Below are 19,986 nucleotides of genomic sequence, written 5' to 3' on the forward strand. Positions count from 1 at the left end.
AGATATCATTAGGAGACAGTCCACAAAATATACATCCTATTGCAAAAGTGTGTGGTCATTTCTCCTTTAAATTCTCCCATTCTGCCTTCATGACACTTGTAGTGTGCTCCTCTGTCTTTCCTCGAGAGGAAATTTTATAATTTTAATAAAATTTTACGATTTTATAATTGTTGCCTTTTTCAAGTCTTATATTTGAAATTAGCTGGGAACAGTGGCTCACGCCTGTAATCTCAGCAATTTGGGAGGCCGAGGCAGGCAGATCACTTAAGGTCAGGAGTTCGAGACCAGCCTGGCCAAATGCTGAAACCCTATCTCTACTAAAAATACAAAGATTAGCCAGGTGTGGTGGTGTGCGCCTGTAGTCCCGGCTGCTCAGGAGGCTGAGTCAGGAGAATCACTTCAGCTGGGAAGGTGGAGGTTGCAGTGAGCTGAGATGGCACCATTGCACTCCAGCCTGGGTGACAGAACAAGACTCCATCTCAAAAAAAAAAAAAAAAAAATCAACCAGCAGTATCCCTTTTGCAGATTTTATAATTTTTACCTTTTCAGATCTGTCTGTCCATGTCTCCATTCATCCATCCACCCATCCACGCTAATACACAGTAACTCATTGAGTTTACCTTTAACAGATTTCATTTTCAATTCATGCAATTATTCCCAGGGAAAAAAAGTTTGCTCAAAGACTGCCTGCTGGAAGATAAGGGGCTAACATCTAAGATTTATAAATAACTCATGCAACTCAATAGCAAGAAAACATATAATCCAATTTTAAAAATGAGCAAAAGACTTAAATAGAAATTTTTCTAAAGATGTCATAAAAGTGGCCAACAGGTACATGAAAAGGTGCTCAATATCACTAATCATCAGGGAAATGCAAATCAAAACTACTGTGAAATATCACCTCACACGTGTTAGGAGATCTGTTATCAAAAAGACAAGAGATAATAAGTGTGACAGGGTGTGAAGAAAAGAGAACCCTTGGAATCTAGATTGTTGCAACCATTATGGAAAACAGTATGGAGCTGTCTAAATAAATTGAAAGTAGAGTACCATATGACCCAGCAATCCCTCTTTTGGGCACATACCCAAAGGAGATGAAATCACCAGCTCGTAAATATATGTGCATTCCCATGTTCATTACAGCACTGTTCACAACAGCCGAGATACTGAAACAACCTAGGGTTTATCAATGGATGAATGGGTAAAGAAACTATTTTATATTTATGAAATATTATTTAGTATATAATATATACATATATCATATATGTTATATATATGAAATACTATTCAGCCATTAAAAAGGAGGCGGTCCTGCCATTTTCCACAATATAGATGGATCTAGAGGTCTTGGTGGATTTTAAAAAGGCACCTGCTCTACATATGTTCTGGAAGTTTTTTATGTGTTATGAAAATGTACTGCTGTCTTAAAAATTGGGGCATTTTTTTCCTGATACTTCAGGGAATATTTTATCTTCAAGTAAAATGATCAAGAGCTTTTTATGTATACTGCTTTGCATTGTTTCTTGCCAGGGATGCTGTGGGTGATATCTGCTCCTTGGTGATAAGGATTCCACCTCGGAGAACAGAAGCTGCAGGGAAGGAAGGCGTTTAGGGGAACTATGCTACAGTTTCACCACAATCCCCATTTTCAGTTACCAAAAGGCCTTCTCAGAATTTAAGGACACGCAAAGCAGACAGCAATTAATTTAATTCCAGATAGAAGCTTTTGACCATGTATATTTCACTGGCACTTTTTGCAAATCTCACTCTCCCTGTTCAGAATAATTCCTGGCAGTGTTGTAGCATTCTTCCAATTACCACTCATGCATCTCACCGTCTTGCCTAAAGGAAAAGTGAAGGAAGATGTAGTCTAAACAGCTAATTTTCATATAAATGTATATAAAAATGTAAAATACATTAAAATTAACAATAATATCCCCTTAGTGTTACTGCTAAACTGTATTTTAGCCCAATGCATATCATCTTACTACTAAGATAAATGGCAATTTTGCACCAAGACATCAGATCAATGGAAATTCACTTGGAATAGATATTCAGGCATGAAAGTATGTTCATACCTACAAAATATTCTAAATCCATAATCTAAGTTCAAATATAGTCAGCTTTATTTTCTTTCAGCACATATAGTCAGTTTGTATTGCAATGTCGTAAGACCAGGAGGAGGGTTGCAGAATTCTTCTACCTCTGTCATCTTAATATTTGTCTCTGATGTTCTCCTCTCTGAGTGTGTGTCCTGGTACCCCTGCATCGGGGTCCCTGTTTCTACTCTCAGAAGAATCAGCAGCTATTGCCAATGTCCATTTAGCTGCCAGTCTTCTGAAAGAAACGTAGGAGAAAAAAACTGTGTACAAAGAGTACACCTGGTCTTTCTACATTCTCTTCTGTGAACGAAATATACTACTTAGGAGATAGAAATGGTCCTTGTTTTGAATTTGAAGCCATGCTTTATTTTCCTGCTATAGAGACATATTCTGGTACTCTTTATAATAATATCTAGTGACAGTAAATAGGTCCTGATATCAAAGGGTAAAACACATTGTATGACAAGCTATTCATAGTTTATCCATAACAAAATTTATTTTCAAATGTAAATACATATATATGTATATTTTTAAATTTGGAAATACATTTAATGTATTTGTGGAAAATATCAAGAAAAGATATTTTGTGACAACTTCTAGGTATGCATCTCTGTACTTTTTACTTGTCATGCTTTATAATCTTTTTAATTATCAGGTACTATTTATTTAATTGAGACAAATTGTTAATCATCTTTTCAAAAGTTCCCTGAGGTTGTTGGCCTGCTGTAGGAATAGCAGGAAGGAATCAGAGACTCTTGGTGTGTCTTCTGGTAAAAGAGACATCCAGCTTTCCTAAGCGCTTGGAGTATGAAAGAGTGACAGGTTTTAGAAATCCACTTCACCCTCCCCCCTCCGCCCCCATGCACAGGGTAAGTATCTTTCATTCCTCAGTGGCCACCTCTAGGCAGGTAGTGTCTTCTGCTTCAAGATGAATACAACCTAGGCAGGCAGGAGAGGGATTTCTGTGCCCTCACAGCTGCTAAAATGTCAGAGCTGAGAGCCTAGGATTGTCTTTCCCTCCTGGCCCAAAATAAGTTGTTCACCTGCCTCCAAGAAACACTGGTTTCAGCGATAAATCTCTGCGTACTCATAATAATGAAGGTGGGTACCATGGTAACTTGGATGGCAGTTTTGAAGTCCAAAATTGGTTTATATTTAAGATTTTCCTTAAAGATTTGCTATTCATTCTAGATGATTACCAAAGGGAAGTACGATTTCTTTTCTTATGAACGATTTAAAATGCAGCATGTATACCACCTGGAACAGAAAAATACATGCCAAGCTGGAATTATTTTTTAACATATACTTCCATTCAATTCAAGATGTTTGTTGTGCACCTACTATATATCATAAACAATGGCAGGTGCTGCCAGGACAGAAACAAGGAAAGGATGTAATCCTTGTCTCAAAGGAGTTTTTAGTGTAATAGAAGGTATGTCCATCATCTGTTGCGACAGTAATACTGTGTAAAAAATCACCCCCAAACTCAGTGTTTAAAAACATTGTTTATGCTAGCTCATGCATCTGTGGTTCATCTGGGTATTGGCTGAACCAAGCTGGCCTTGGTTGAGCCTGTCTGTAAGGTACAGGTTGGAGGAAGTTCTGTCTGCTTCACGGGTCTCTCATTATTCTTTTTTTTTTTTTTTTTTTTTGACAGAGTTTCACTGTGCAGTGGCACAGTCTCAACTCACTGCAACCTCCAACCTCTGCCTCCTGGGTGCAAGCAAAAATTCACGTGCCTCACCCTCCTGAGTAGCTGGGATCATAGAGGTGTGCCACCACACCTGACTAATTTTTGTATTTTTAGTAGAGACAGGTTTTTGCCATTCTGGCCAGGCTGGTCTCAAACTCTTGGCCTCAAGTGATCCACCCACCTCAGCCTCCCAAAGGGCTGGGATTATAGGCATGAGCCACTGTGCCTGCAAGGGGCTAGTGAGGCATGTTCTCCTCACTGTGAAGGTAGAAGATTGAGAGGTCAAGCCAGCTGCACAAATGGCTTTCCTCTAACATTTTCTGCCAAAGCAAGTCACATGGACAAGCCCTATGTCACTAGAATGAGGAAATATACTCTGTCTGAGGTGAACTGCAAAGCATATGACAAAGGATATGGGGACACAGGGAGGGATGCAAAATTAGGAAAATATATAGCAGGTGCGCAAATGTCTTGAATTGAATGGTAATGCTAATATGTTAAAAATAATACAATCAACCACATTGGAAAAGATAAATTCACAAATGTCTGTATAACAAAGGGTGGGGGCTTCACAAGGGAAGGGATCCTATCCCAAAGACAGGAAGAAAACTTCTTAAAGGAGATGGCATTTGCAGCTACTCAAGAAAGGTGTTTGTATTTCAAGAGGCTAACATGGGAGGTTGGGGCAGCACATAATTCAAAGATGCTCCATGAGCACAGCGTGGATGCACATAAGCCATTCTCAGTGTTAGGTTATAAACAAGCAACTGAACAGAAAAATTGCAGCGATAGAAAAAGGAGATCTGTAAGAAAACTACAAGTAGGGGGAGACTTCAGGTCTCAGAAATTTTTGTATTGCATGTTATTGCTGGAAGTTCTTTGAGAAGATGGTATGAGTGTTAATTTCCAGGGTATGAAATATGCAAAAGCATATAAGCATAGAGCTTTTGTTTAAATCTTGAGAACTATAATTAGAGCTGGAAATGACTTAGAAATTGTTTAGCTCAGTTCACTTATTTTATAGATGAGGAAATATGTATTTTGAAGATAAATGCTCTATGTGTGGATATGTATGTGTAGCTATATAGATACATACCTATACAGATAGTTCCTGATTTTACTATGGCTTAAATACAATTTTCAGACTTTATGACGGTACAAAAGTGATACACATTCAGTAGAAAGTGTACTTTGAGTACCCATACAACCATTCTGTTTTTTACTTTCAGTACAGTATTCAATAAGTCACGTGAGATATTCAACACTTCATTATAAAATAGGCTCTATGTTAAATGACTTTGTTACTGTAGGCTATTGTAAGCCTTCAGAGCACATTTAAGGTAGGCTAGGACAAGCAAACATGTTTGGCAGATTAGATGTTTTAAATGCATTTTCAACCTGGGATATGTTAAATTTATGATGGGCTTATGGCCCGAAAACCCCATAGTAAGCTGGGGAGTATCTTCATGTGTGTGGGTATATGTATGTGTGTAAAATATGTAAAATATATAAATATGTTAACAGAGAAAATACATTTCTTCCTAAATAAAACCATATATGTGGTATTATTACCATATATATCCAACGTGTATATATGTATTATTATATCCAATGTATATTGTATATAATATCCAATGTATATTATTAAATATATTATTTATATAATATATATTATATAATATCAATGTATATTATGTAGATACAAAATTTATATTATATTGGATCTAATAATACATATATACATTGGATATATATGGTAATAATACCATGTATATGGTTATATATAATATACATTGGATATTATATATATCAAAAATATATCATATGCAATTGTATTTAGAGAGAAAGACTAAATTCTTCTGTGTATATTGAGAAAAAGAGAGAGGAAATGAGCCTACTTCTTGAAGTGGCATTCTAAAGAATTCTTAATCCCTCACAAACTTTAAAACTGCTGTGTCCTTATCAGCGATCTTTCTAGTTCCAAGGAATAGAATATGGCTCATACTATTCAAATGCAAAGGGGAGGTTGTTAATAAGAAGAAAAAATAAACATGTTTCCAGTTACCCAAGGACTGGAAATGCTGTGTGTAATGCCTGAGCTAGCAGAGGCCTTTCATTGGCTCCCCTTGTCTGGGGCACTGTTTTCAACAGAAACGGGAGCAGACACTGGGAGAAGTGAGCCAAGGCAGCAGGTGTCCTCTGCGCCTACTCACTACTCTTCCTGTCTTCTGAAACTCACTCCCCTCATTTGTAAATGCAACATAATCACCCATCTAACCAAAATATAATTAGGGAGGTAAATCAGTTTGTGTATCTAGTATATGAGGTTTCTCCAGAATAGAAACAATGAAACTTTGAAGTTGTGCCCTACCGTAATCCCCGTTCATGTAGACTGGAAGTTGTCAAACTATGACCTGATGGGATTTGTTCCCTGGTCTAGACAGGGACTAGTCCAGCTGGTCTGCTTTTATAAATTAGGTTTTATTAAAACAGCCACGCTCCTTTGTTTACACTCTGTTTGTGGTAGCTTTTGCACAACAGTGGCAGGGCTTGTCGTTGCAAGGGGGACAGAGCCCATGGCCTGCAAAGCCTCAGTATTTAATATCTGACCCTGTTCATTGCAGTCTGGTCACTCCTGGTGCAGACCACAGGGAATTGTTGCTTTCTGGAATGGGCGACACGTGCATGTGCTTGGTCCTCTGGGATGGCATTGGCAGGAGTCGGCCCAGGGAGGACATCTGTGGAATGAGAATGTTGCCCCCATGAATGTTTTCTCTAAGAAAGAAACAGGTGCTGGCCGGGCACGCTGGCTCACACCTGTAATATCAGCATTTTGGTAGGCCAAGGCGGGCGGATGACCTGAGGTCAGGAGTTCGAGACCAAACTGGCCAACATGGTAAAACCCCGTCTCTACTAAAAATACAAAAAAACTTAGCCGGCCGTGGTGGCGCATGCCTGTAATTCCAGCTACTCGGGAGGCTGAGTCAGGAGAATCGCTTGAACCCAGGAGGCGGAGGTTGCCATGAGCCAAGATCACGCCATTGCACTCCCGCCTGGGCGACAAGATCTTAAAAAAAAAAAAAAAAAAAAAAAGAAGAAGAAAGAAAAGAAAAGAAAGAAACCAGTGCTTTTGCTGCCTCCCTGGGGCTCTGCTGAGGCCATCATGATTAACCTTTGTTCTCTGTCCTTTGCCAGACTCCGACCTGAGCATGCGCACACTGAGCACGCCCAGCCCAGCCCTGATATGTCCACCGAATCTCCCAGGATTTCAGAATGGAAGGGGCTCGTCCACCTCCTCGTCCTCCATCACCGGGGAGACGGTGGCCATGGTGCACTCCCCGCCCCCGACCCGCCTCACACACCCGCTCATCCGGCTCGCCTCCAGACCCCAGAAGGAGCAGGCCAGCATAGACCGGCTCCCGGACCACTCCATGGTGCAGATCTTCTCCTTCCTGCCCACCAACCAGCTGTGCCGCTGCGCGCGAGTGTGCCGCCGCTGGTACAACCTGGCCTGGGACCCGCGGCTCTGGAGGACTATCCGCCTGACGGGCGAGACCATCAACGTGGACCGCGCCCTCAAGGTGCTGACCCGCAGACTCTGCCAGGACACCCCCAACGTGTGTCTCATGCTGGAAACCGTAACTGTCAGTGGCTGCAGGCGGCTCACAGACCGAGGGCTGTACACCATCGCCCAGTGCTGCCCCGAACTGAGGCGACTGGAAGTCTCAGGCTGTTACAATATCTCCAACGAGGCCGTCTTTGATGTGGTGTCCCTCTGCCCTAATCTGGAGCACCTGGATGTGTCAGGTAAATGGACACTGACCTACCAGCTATGGGCCCTCCTGGTGCACCATCCTAAAACAGTGGGGACAGTGCCACCACCGGAGGGTCCTCTTCTTGCAAGCCATCAGAGATGGGGGCGGGTGGTAGGGAGGCTGGCTTTTGCAGAGAAACTGTCTCTATGGAATCATGACCCTGGAGGCCACAAGTTTCCCTTTCATCAAATAATGTCCACTTCTTTTTTTTTTATTATTATACTTTAAGTTTTAGGGTACATGTGCACAACGTGCAGGTTAGTTACATATGTATACATGTGCCATGTTGGTGTGCTGCACCCATTAACTCGTCATTTAACATTAGGTGTATCTCCACTTCTTACGGGAGTTCTTAGGGGAATTCTGGCACATTTTGCCTGGGAGTTGAGGTTAGTACGACTTTTAAATGTCTTTACTCTTCATAACTCTCACAGTTACTTCAGAGCAACCATAGATAGTGCAAACAGGGTATCTAAGTGTAGAGAAATAGGAAACAAAAGGCTAACTCAAGCACAGTTAGCTTAGAAACTATCCTCGCGCCCACCTGCTGTTGGTCCCTGGAGCCTGGAATCTTTGTCCAAGCTGTAAAAATGACCTCGTGTGTTTTCGTACCACGGGCCAGACGGTGCCCACTGTGGGTGATAAAACACTCAGCTGTGGGCTGTGCTCATGATCACTTGCCATTTTGTAGTGTCTCCTTAGATTTCACCAGCACTCTTCTTACATCTGGGTTAATCCTGCATCTTTTCTCAAGCAAAATTCTCAATTACACAGTGCAAGGGCAAGGTCCATTGAATTAAATCTTTAGTGCTTTTAAAAATTGAAGGAAGTCGGGCGTAGAGGCCCACGCCTGTAATCCCAGCACTTGGGAGGCTGAGGCATGAGGATTACTTGAAGCTAGGAGTTAGAGACGAGCCTGAGCAACAAAGCGAGACCCCTCTCTCCACAAAAACTGGAAATATTAGCCAGGCACAGTGGTATGAGACTGTGGTCCCAGCTATTCTACTCAGAGGCTGAGGCAGGAGGATTGCTTGAGCCCAGGAGTTCGAAGCTGCAGTGAACTATGATCATACCACTGCACTCCAGCCTGGAGGACAGAGTGAGACCCTGTCTCTGAAAAAAAAAAAAAAAAAAAAGAAAAATCGAAGGAAATCCCAGCATGGCTGCTTTGCTTGGAAACCTCTCTCAGGCAGGAAGAATTAAAGCCCAGACTCACACTTAGGCGCCAGACATGATCTGCCTGGACTAACAGCCCTTCCTTATCTCATTTGCTGCCTAGTCAAAAGATGAACATTCGAGAGGCTGAAATGTGTAAGATGCATCAGGGACTTAAAACCAACAGCACGACCAGCAACCTCAGGGAGTTTGGGGGAGGGGTCAAGAAGTAAAAAACACTATGGTGGGTGAACAAACAGAATCTGGGATTTACAAGCATCTGAGGCCAGTGATGCCCTCCAACAAAACCCCAGCTAAAGCCGGCTCTCAGCTTGCTCTCTCTTTCGAAAGCCGACGTCTGAAAATATTTCAGATGACAGCCCATTACTTTTTGCAGATTCTTTCCCGTGCTGGAGAGCAGCTCGCTGCTCCTCTACTTCAGTTGGCTTCAAGACAAAACCATAGCAGCCATATGTTCAGTTAGTCATGAGTAGCCAGTGGCATCGAGAAGCAGGAAACCAGGAGGTTTTCTTACATTTTTCCTCCAAGGAATTCTGGAAAGAGAAAATGTTGTGATGTGGTGGAAACAAGTTTCAAAACTTTGTGATTTAGAAAAGTTCACAGCTTTTTCTAGATGTGTTTCCTCTTCATTTAAAAGAAATGGCGAAGGACTGGGTTCTTTAACATCTAAGAATTGGAGCATTTTATAAACATTTCATTTTCTTTTCTTAGATTAGAAAATGATTCATTTTTGGAATCCCTATCTTTGTAAAAGGTGCTTCCCATGCACTCTTAATACAGGCTGCAAGTAATTGTACCCTCTTTTGGAGGGTCCTTTTGAAGTTCAGAAATGCAGAAACCACTTTTGCTATTTGGGAATGGAAATTCTTGCGCTTCTAGCCTTAGTGGTCCTGCCTGGCCCCTTGACTAACCATTATTAAGCCTTGATATCTGTCTTGTATGTTAACCTGCTTACTTTGAAAGTTCAAATATATTTGTGTAGCCTCCCCTCATGTCTCCCAATGACAACAGTGATCTGTATACATAGAGATAAAAATGAGGGGAATCTGCAGCTCACCAAGTTAAGAACACAGAATCCCACATATGGGAGAAAGTTTCAGATAGATGGTCTTGAAAGACTCAACAGGCCATGAGGATGGATTTGTCATCAGCACCTACTAAGGGTGCCCTCCTCTTCTGAGGGCATCTGGAAATTGTTATGTTGATGCAGAGAGGCCAGAGGGCTGCCACAGTTGATTTCATTATGGCTGGTTCTCTTTAGTTTTACAGCTGGGCCCCGATAGTGGCCACATTCTCAGTGGCAGTAGACTTGACTTTGGAAGACTCATCACTGGTCTAGAGCTTAATTCTCCCAAAGGAGATGAGACTGCCTATCCTATCCCTAGCATGCAGAAAATGCTCATCTGGGAAGCTATCTTTAAAGTCACTGAAAATGACTACAACTGTATTGTTTTGTCATTATCACATATTACCTTTTATTAATAGTAGCATTAAACATCATTGCACTATATTGATGAATATATTGCAATAACGAGAGGAAGTGGTAATAAAGAACATATTTGTGAAAGCTGTATGAAATCTGGAATCAACTGAAGAAACCCCATAGGTTTGTTCAACCAATTTTCAAAATATAAAATGTGGTAAATGTTAAAAATAATATTGCTTCAGAAAGAACCTCTCTAACTGGAGACCTGGAATCATCCTTTTTTCTCCCCCTAATCCTACCCAACCAGTAGAGTCCTGTTCAGGTGACTCTACTTCCCCAGTACCTTGAGTCCATCTCTGTCTGCCTGCCTGGATGCAGACTTCCCCAGCCATTCCTTCTTATACCCATCTCCATGGCCTCCAGAGGAATTGTTTCAAACTACAAGTCTAACCATTTACTTTCCTGCATGAAACCTCCAATAATTGCTCCCTATGACCTACAGGAAAAATTCAAGTTCCTCCACAGAGCACGTAACAGCCTTCATAAGATGCTCTTCTTAGGTGCAAATTTCATCTCTTTCCTGCATACACGCAATGCTCCCTTCTGTAGAACCATCTTATCTGCATGTCCCAAAACACATCCTATCTGTGCATACGATGATGTGTGCATGCCTCTCTGGCTTGTGTCCCTCTCCCTCCTCTGCCTGCTGCCCCTCCTCGAGAACTCTCTGAACAGACTTTTCATTGCTTAAACTCCAGTGAAGCATCCCCTGAATGTAGCCTTCCCCGGCTCACCCCCAGTGAGCTAAGGGTTTTTTTCTGGGTGTCTGCCTTTTGGGTACAGAAAGCTAGAGCATTGATGGACTTGGAATTCTCAACTCATGATGAGCTTTGAGCTTTATAAGGGCAGAAATATGTCATATTTCATTTTTGCACTTTTATGACATTGTAATTAAGTGAACACAGGCGTGTCAAAGTTTTAAGTGGTCATTTTGGCCTTTAAAAGGCTTAAAGTTCCCTTTGGTTAATACTCTAAGCAAGGATTTAGGAAGCTGCAGTGCAACAGTTAAAAATTCCTCATCAGTAAAAGTGAGGTGGTTGGGAGGATTAAATGAGTTAAGACATGTTAAGTTCTCAAACACATGCTCTGAAGGGAACCACGTAGGAGGCACTCAATAAATCGCAGCTGTCATTGTCGTTGTATTGTCCTTGTTATTAACCTGCCTGGAAGTCAGCAGTTGTTCTTCATTGACTTAACCATCTGACACCCCAGAAGAGATAGAGATATCACCCTAATAATGAGAGGAAGTGGTAATAAAGAGCATATTTGTGAAAGCGGAATGAAATCTGGGATTAACTGAAGAAACGCCGCAGATTTATTCAACCTATGTTGTCTATTCCCTACTGAATAATATTTATATACCTTACCCTAGATGTCAAAGCAGTCCCCTGATCTCATCCCAAAAGACAATTCTTGCCTTGGTTTTGACTAAATCCTTTCAGACACCCTAAGTTTCACCTCATGGATACCCTAACCCTCCCATGGACTTGCCCCTTGCTTTCCTTTCTCTGGGATGTGTCTATTATCTTACTACCTGGACTCCATATCTATTAATATATATGCAAATTGGTTTTCACTCCACATCTATGCATCCAAATTATTTCTCTCTTTCAAGGGCCCCTTTGGAAATTATGCCATGGTGGCTTCCAAGTTTCCAAAGACCCCTGGGTGCCCGGTGTCTGAATGTTCACTTCATTTTCTACTGTATATCTCTTGTGTAATTTTTCAACTCTATGATACATCATAGTCACTTCTTAAGTCCCTTTCTAAATTGAAGTCTTGGAATGAGGAGTCAAGAAACTTATCTGTAGTCTGGTTGTACAAGTCATATAATCTCACTGAGCCTGCGATGCTTCATCTTGAAAAAAAATGATGTTTATTCTGGATGATTTCTAAGGTTCTCTCCATGTCTATAATGTTTGAATGTGTGAACTAATCATAAATAATACCTGCTGAGCCATGAACCAATTTACTTTCTTTTCATCCCAAACCTAGCAAATCTATAAGAGTTTGGGCAAAACCTAAAATCTAAAATTATTGATCTAAAATAATACAAGCCTATAAAATAGTCTCTTTACCAAAACTGAACTAAACAAGTATTTCATTAAATTTGGAATTCAGTTTCAAAAGCAAAGTATACATTTTCCTGGACCAAATATATTATCTTTCCTAGAGTGTAGCAGATTTTGCTAATTTTGTTTCTAAAGAAAGGAAACTAGAACCAAGAGTTTAAGAGCAAAGGTTATCATATGATCTTGAAAAACAAAGTGTCTTTATAGGCGTCACAGATGGCCAATCACTACCATAGAAAAACAAATTCAGTGCAAGCAGGATTACAGTCAGCCTCAAGAAAGAAACTCAAAACAAAGGGAAATTTCAAAGCTAAAAGGGACTAATCACCTTTTGCAAAACCACAAAGCCCACTGGAACAGTGTGACCTGCCTCTGACAAGCTGTTTTTGTTCTCCATTTTTGGAGTGTGTGCTTCACTCCTTCCTGAAATTCTTTGACTTAGTAGCACGTGGTTTTTGAACCTCATTATTCCCAGGGCCTGAGTGTCTAAGAGTTTCCTGGGCAGCCTACCAGGAGGTGGGAGGAAGGTCCTCGTTAGCACTTTTGTGAGGCTGCTGGGAAGCCTTGGATATTGCGTGAAACAGCCAAGGTGCAGAAGTGTCCGAAGTGAGGCGCCTAGCTGTAGAACTGCCCGAGAGATTTGAGAAGAGCAGAGAGAAAATGAAAAATATATATACAGCCTCGGTAGTAGAATGAAATACATAAAAATATACATTTATTTATAAAATATTAGGTTGGTGCAAAAGTAATTGCGGTTTTTGTCTTTATTTATCTATTTTGAGATCAAGTCTTGCCCTGTCACCTAGGCTGGAGTGCAGTGGTGCGCTCCAGATTTTCTGCAACCTCCGCCTCCCAAGTTCAAGCAATTCTCGTGCCTCAGCCTCCCAAATAGCTGGGATTACAGGCATGCACCACCATACCTGGCTAATTTTTGTGTTTTTAGTAGAGACGGGGTTTTGCCATGTTGCCCAGGCTAGTCTTGAACTCCTGGGCTCAAGCAATCCACCCGCCTGGGCCTCCCAAAGTGCTGGGATTGCAGGCGTGAGCCAACACACCCAGTCGGTTTTTGCCATTTTAATTGCAAAAATTACAGTTACTTTTGCACTAACCTAATATTTATAGACTATGGATATTAGTTACATTAATATACCATAAGTATACTGTACGTGTTTTTATAGAGTAATATATAGAGAACTTAAATATACCATGAAATAAGTGTTTCCTATATATAAATATATAAATTATATAGTGTGTATATATATAACTTATGCATACATATTTTTTAGGAGATTAGAAACGATGTTTAGAGAGGCATCTAAAGATACCTTCCTGAGCATTAATATTGTTCTAACAATCAGGTAAGAAAATGTTTATAAAAGCCCTTTGTAAACTTCGTGATTCAACACAAATAAAAGACATTATCATTAACTATAAAACAGACAACTGTTTTTCAATGTAGGTATACTTCAGCCAAGGTCCTGAAGACTGTTGGAAGTTGGATGATCTCATCTGATCCTCTTATGGAAGACTCTTTTCCCTCTATAAACCGCTCATTCATTCAACAGATACTTAGCACCAGCTATGAACCAGAAATGAGACAGCAGTGAACAGCCCCAAGTCCCTTTTCTCAAAACTTACATTCCAGAGTGAGGAGACAGCAAATAAATAAGTGAATAAATAAATATATAATGCCACCCAGGGATAAAGACTCCTGAAAATAAAGGGGAGGAAAGCAGGGGATGCTAGTTTATACAAGCATGGTTGGGGACAAATTTTTCTATAAACAGATTGGCTCTGAGACCTGGGAAAGTCTGGAGGGCTAAGGGAAGCCATTTCCAGTGCTCAGAGGCTGGAGAGCATTTGTGGTGTGCGGGAAATGACAAGCAGGCCAGTGGCGTTGGAGGAATGAGGTAAAAGATGCCGTCAGAGAGCCCCGGGGTGCAGATCCTTGGGAGCCCTGTTAGACTCTGGATTTTACACTTGGAGTGAACGGGCGCCATCCCGAGGCTTTGCACAGGGGCAAGCTTCGAGTTCCGTTTTCCAAGACACCTCGGGCAGATAGGGGTGTGGGGAATCGACTGTAGGAGCTAAGGGCAGGGAAGGGAGTCTGATTCAAGGACACCTGGAGTGAACGGGCGTCATCCCGAGGCTTTGCACAGGGGCAAGCTTCGAGTTCCGTTTTCCAAGACACCTCGGGCAGATAGGGGTGTGGGGAATCGACTGTAGGAGCTAAGGGCAGGGAAGGGAGTCTGATTCAAGGACACCTGGAGTGAACGGGCGTCATCCCGAGGCTTTGCACAGGGGCAAGCTTCGAGTTCCGTTTTCCAAGACGCCTCTGGCAAATAGGGGTGTGGGGAATCGACTGTAGGAGCTAAGGGCAGGGAAGGGAGTCTTGTTCAAGGGCTACAGCAACAATCCAGATAACACAGTTGTTCTTCCTCAACTAAAGAGAGTTGGATTGACTCAGAAGGTCTGTTCAATTGACAGAAGGTCACCTTGCTAGACTAATATATTCACTTCCCATAGCGTTTTCAGAGCACATGCATATCTGTTCTCTCATTGCATCCTCATTATATCTGAAGTGTCGGCTCACCACCTATTCATTCCCATTGCATAAAGGACAGTTCTGAGAAGCAGCAACGTTAAGCCTCCTGCCTGAACCAGGTGTGACTCCTAACCCAGTGTTCTTTCTGCTAAACCAAGGTACATGCCCGAGCTTTGTCTTTCATATCTTACTTTGGACCAGGGAGCTTCCAAACCAGGGCAGCTCAAGAACTCACTTTTACTGAGCTCCTGGAACTTTCCAGGGCCAAGGCAAGATATTTACACACATCCTCTCATTACTCCATCCCAGCTGCCTCCCAGGGAATGGGATCCTCCCTATTTTAAGACAAAGGAAATACTCAGAAGGATTGATTTGCTAAATGTCAGGCAAGTAGGGACAGATGACAGATCAGGAATTGGAACCATGGTTTTTCTGATCCAATCCTCTTAAGCCCAGATAATAGAAATAATGTAGTTAAATAATCAGATAAATATGGGGAACCCATTCTTGCATTTCCTCTCTATAGAGACCAAGACAGGAAAGGGTAACATCAGCCTCGGACCCAGACTTGGGCGAGGGTCAGGAATGCCCCAGGGCATCCCCAGGCGTGGCTCCCCTGCTGGCAGGTTGCTCTGAGCCTGTGTTCTGTCTCTTTGTGCAGGATGCTCCAAAGTGACCTGCATCAGCTTGACCCGGGAGGCCTCCATTAAACTGTCACCCTTGCATGGCAAACAGATTTCCATCCGCTACCTGGACATGACGGACTGCTTCGTGCTGGAGGACGAAGGCCTGCACACCATCGCGGCGCACTGCACGCAGCTCACCCACCTCTACCTGCGCCGCTGCGTCCGCCTGACCGACGAAGGCCTGCGCTACCTGGTGATCTACTGCGCCTCCATCAAGGAGCTGAGCGTCAGCGACTGCCGCTTCGTCAGCGACTTCGGCCTGCGGGAGATCGCCAAGCTGGAGTCCCGCCTGCGGTACCTGAGCATCGCGCACTGCGGCCGGGTCACCGACGTGGGCATCCGCTACGTGGCCAAGTACTGCAGCAAGCTGCGCTACCTCAACGCGAGGGGCTGCGAGGGCATCACGGACCACGGTGTGGAGTACCTCGCCAAGAACTGCACCAAACTCAAATCCCTGGATATCGGCAAATGCCCTTTGGTATCCGACACGGGCCTGGAGTGCCTGGCCCTGAACTGCTTCAACCTCAAGCGGCTCAGCCTCAAGTCCTGCGAGAGCATCACCGGCCAGGGCTTGCAGATCGTGGCCGCCAACTGCTTTGACCTCCAGACGCTGAATGTCCAGGACTGCGAGGTCTCCGTGGAGGCCCTGCGCTTTGTCAAACGCCACTGCAAGCGCTGCGTCATCGAGCACACCAACCCGGCTTTCTTCTGAAGGGACAGAGTTCATCCGGCGTTGTATTCACACAAACCTGAACAAAGCAAATTTTTTTAAAAGCAGCGTATGTAAGCACCGACACCCACTCAAAACAGCTCTTTCTTCCGGGAAGGTTATTAGGAATCTGGCCTTTATTTTTCCTCATTTCTCATGGGCAACAGAGGCCAAAGAAACGAAGCAAGACAAACAGCAAACAGGCATTTTGGTCAGGTCATTTGTAGGCAGTTTCTCTTCTCACAAAAGATGTACTTAAGCAGGCTGATCGCTGTTCCTTGAGCAAGGCGCTTACTCTCCTCCGCTCAGGCCCCCAAGGCCGCCCTTTCCCTCGCACACAGGCCCCACCCCCACAGTTCCACGCCCCCCCCCCAAGGCCACACCCTCCCTCCCTAGAGCAGCAGCGAGGATCCATCATCAGAATCACAGTGCTCTCCAGACCTCCTCTCTAAACTGCTTCATTGACCTAAGTCACTCTCTTCAATCCCACACCCATGGACATTCTTGTCAACTCAATACCATAGCACTTTGCATAGGCAAAATACTTTTCAGGCCTTTTTAAAAAATTCATTACAGCAAACAGCTGGGGAAGGACATGCAGTCCTCCCCCAGCTCTGTCAATGACTATGACCTTGGCCAAAGCACTTCACTGCTCTGGGCTGCAGCTTCCAGCACTGAATCAGAGGCCACACAGCCCAAAGATTAGCTTCATGTCCATTATAGCATTGAGGGAGCAGAGATACCCATACACAGAAGCACCTTGGCATAGAGCACCCAGGCATCGACCTCTTCCAGGAGAACTGATTCTGTGGATGGATGTGATTTCAGGAGATTGTGCAGTGCCAGCATCAGTGCATAAAGGGTCCTGTATGTCCTTTGGCTGCAAATCACCCACTTCCCTGTGTTTCAGTGGGAGAATTTCCTCTCCCACCTCCTCACATCCTCTTTTGCCAGGCTGGATGCTGTCGTCTCTGTACACAAATACTTTCTGCATTCCCCCCTCCACACCATCCTAGCGAGGCACCAGCACACCTAATCACAGCAAAGCCCAGATCCCCCCATCAGTTGCTTTTACTCAGTGTTTTCAAATAGGAGTAAAGGCCCTTGCAATTTTTAATTAACAAGCAAGGCCCAAGGGAACACATGTCCTCAAAAGTTTTTCTGATCCCTCGCCTTGCACACCTGGCATGCATCAGGCACATCTGTCCTACAGCTGGCAGAGACAGATGCCTCGGTTCTTTGTCATTCAGATTGCATTTGACCTCTTCTCATCTATTTATTTCTTTATACATCCAGACTTCATCACATGAAGCCTATTGGGGTTAAGTTTGTAAGTGTTTAATTGTGCAAATTGCCACCCTGTGTACCTCCTCCATGTCTGTCTGCGTGTTTTCCACCAAAGAATGCAAAGCAGACTTCCAGGTGTTTAAATTCTGTTCACTCAACAATGCCAGATGAATGGAAGAGGGAACACACTGAGATGACTTAGACTCTGGTCCACCAACCAGACCCTTGGAAAGGAATACTAAAATCATTACAAGGTATGGATTTTAAATGGATGAAACTTCAAATTATCTTATTTGGATAGAAGTCTATATTCTAGCCTCATTTGCATGAAGTCAGATAGCCAGAAGAAATTCCATTGCTGGTTTTCACGAAATTCACTTGTCTTTTGCTAATAAACACATGGCCCTTTCCCAGATTATTCTCTAGCCAAGCCCCACCTTTGTTACGTTGAAATCCCTCATTTATTTTCTTCTCAAAATGCCCATTATCCAAATGCAGAACCTCTGCATCTCCAAGCCAGTTATGCTGAATTTGTCAAACTTAGACACCCTTGACAACTGCACTCCTACTGTAGGCTCCTGTGCATACTGTCGTCTTCTGTGGGGGATGGAGAGGTTAGTGTGATGAGGTGGTGTCTGCCCAGGAGGTTTCTTTCAAACATCATGGCCTCCCATCCAATCAACATCATCAAATTACATGTGTAATCAAGGCTCTGTGCCATGGGGGAAATGAATCATTTAGCTAGGCCAGGATCTAGTGAAAGCCACAGAGTTTAAAACCATGAAAGAAGTTGAAGGCAGCATTCCTCAGCTCTGTGACTTGTGACCCTATTTGAAGTTTCAGGATTTGGGTGTCACAAAGGATTGTCCCTAATCCTTGGCCCTGGGGTCTTCCGAGTGAGCTGGTTTAATACTCTGAGAATGAGCAGGGAGATCCAGAGAATGAATCCCTGACCGCATCACCTAAACTGTCTTCCAAACATGAGACAAAGCTGACTGTTCACACTGATTGCCCAGCACATACCGTCTTGCCAGTTTCTTCTTTTCTCCCAGTCTCCTGTTCATCCATTCTGTTCTCCCTTGGGGTGGGAATCTATGATGGAGGTTACTGGGGAAACAGCTCAGCAGATTTTTGGAGACCAAACCAAAGGTCTCACTAGGAAATTTATCTGTTTTAAAACATTGCTTCCTTCCTGGCTCTGCTAAATTGAATGCTCATTGTTTGTTGTTGTTGTTTTTTAATTCTAATGTTCAAATCACTGCGTGCTGTATGAATCTAGAAAGCCTTAATTTACTACCAAGAAATAAAGCAATATGTTCGTAATCAGCCTCAGCTTCATTTTTAATAACCTTTCCAGAGGAGAGTGCTGTTTGGTTGGGGGCCCTCAAAAGTATGCAGAAAACTTTCTTTGAAGGACAGAGCAAGCCAGGTCACTGCCACTGTTGCCTGCTTGGAGATACAGCGATGGTTTTCTCATCTCCTTTGGACCAGTGATTTTGGCTTAAAATTGGCAGGTAAGTGAAAAACCATTACCTTCACAGTATAGTTCAGGTCTTCAATTCCTTAACCCAAACCCTGTGAGACTCTGTCTCCAAAAAATAAAAAATTTATCTGCGGTGGGTTTTGTAATACCTACCTCAGTGACTGGGACATCACCCTTAACCAGTCATATTAATATTTCTTCAGCAATAGATCTGAATAGTCACATGACATGAGATTATTATAGACTATAAATAGCCTTGCATCAGTTGAGATCCGGTTTTGTCAGGAAATTAATTTATACCATAAATAACACAAAAACTTCTATTTTTTTCAGAGCTTTCTGGATTTCAGAATTATGAAGAGCTAAGGACATGAATATATTTACCTTGGCACTGGTTACAAGCATTGGAGGAAACTTCAAAATTATGCTGACCATTCGTTGTTATAATTTGTTAAAGTGTCTTAGAGTACTATTAGATTGGTGCAAAAGTAATTATTTTTGCCATTACTTTTAATGGCAAAATTGAAATTACTTTTGCACCATCCTAATAGAACCTGGAAGGAGAAGATGGAAAACTGATCTAAGTCAGTTAGAAAAAGTGAAATGCCAAATCCCTTCTTCCCCACCCAAACTTTTCCATCTGAGAAATCAATATGGCAAAAAGCAAGTACTGATAGATGAATGGGAAAGTTCATCCTTAGCAAGAAAAAAGTATTGAGAGATATTAATTTTAACTATATTTGTCTTTGACCTTCTTCTCATCCTGTGTTAGCTGCTTAAACAACTCTCACATAAACCAATGGGACCCTTAAATGGCTTGCAACATGAATTTGAGGACGCCCCATGCAATTCTTGTCAAGATCCTGGAATAAGCCCAGAAGTAAGTAAAATGCATTCACCTTTGAGGTTCATGACCTCTTAAACTGACATTT

General features: G+C 42.7%; 1 protein-coding gene and 1 non-coding gene across 6 annotated transcripts in view, besides 3 other annotated features; both read left to right on the forward strand.

Moving 5' to 3' along the window:
* Window positions 1-18,894, forward strand: part of FBXL7 (F-box and leucine rich repeat protein 7) — a 439,614-nt gene extending 420,720 nt beyond the window's left edge. For all 5 annotated transcript variants that reach the window (NM_012304.5, NM_001278317.2, XM_017009262.3 and 2 more), the window contains 2 exons: window positions 6,991-7,602; window positions 15,551-18,894. In NM_012304.5, the coding sequence (NP_036436.1) occupies window positions 6,991-7,602; window positions 15,551-16,287 (1,349 nt within the window). In that variant the 3' untranslated portion in view covers window positions 16,288-18,894. The remainder of the gene's footprint in view (window positions 1-6,990; window positions 7,603-15,550) is intronic.
* Window positions 12,362-12,927: an enhancer, noted in NCBI's record as "NANOG hESC enhancer chr5:15933370-15933935 (GRCh37/hg19 assembly coordinates)". NCBI's record gives its function as "activates a minimal SCP1, AML or CMV promoter by ChIP-STARR-seq in naive H9 embryonic stem cells {active_cell/tissue: H9 hESC(naive)}" and the evidence as "EXISTENCE:reporter gene assay evidence [ECO:0000049][PMID:30033119]".
* Window positions 13,932-14,432: an enhancer, noted in NCBI's record as "H3K4me1 hESC enhancer chr5:15934940-15935440 (GRCh37/hg19 assembly coordinates)". NCBI's record gives its function as "activates a minimal SCP1, AML or CMV promoter by ChIP-STARR-seq in primed H9 embryonic stem cells {active_cell/tissue: H9 hESC(primed)}" and the evidence as "EXISTENCE:reporter gene assay evidence [ECO:0000049][PMID:30033119]".
* Window positions 14,283-14,361, forward strand: MIR887 (microRNA 887). The gene has a single exon (NR_030616.1). It is a non-coding gene; the product is annotated as a microRNA 887 (primary transcript).
* Window positions 15,292-16,491: an enhancer, noted in NCBI's record as "CDK7 strongly-dependent group 2 enhancer chr5:15936300-15937499 (GRCh37/hg19 assembly coordinates)". NCBI's record gives its function as "activates an origin of replication core promoter dependent on BRD2, BRD4, P300/CBP, MED14 and CDK7 cofactors, with strong dependence on CDK7, by STARR-seq in HCT116 cells {active_cell/tissue: HCT116}" and the evidence as "EXISTENCE:reporter gene assay evidence [ECO:0000049][PMID:35650434]".
* Window positions 18,895-19,986: the final 1,092 nt, after the last annotated feature.

The sequence above is a fragment of the Homo sapiens genome, chromosome 5 (assembly GCF_000001405.40).
Source record: "Homo sapiens chromosome 5, GRCh38.p14 Primary Assembly".
Lineage (NCBI taxonomy): Eukaryota > Metazoa > Chordata > Mammalia > Primates > Hominidae > Homo > Homo sapiens.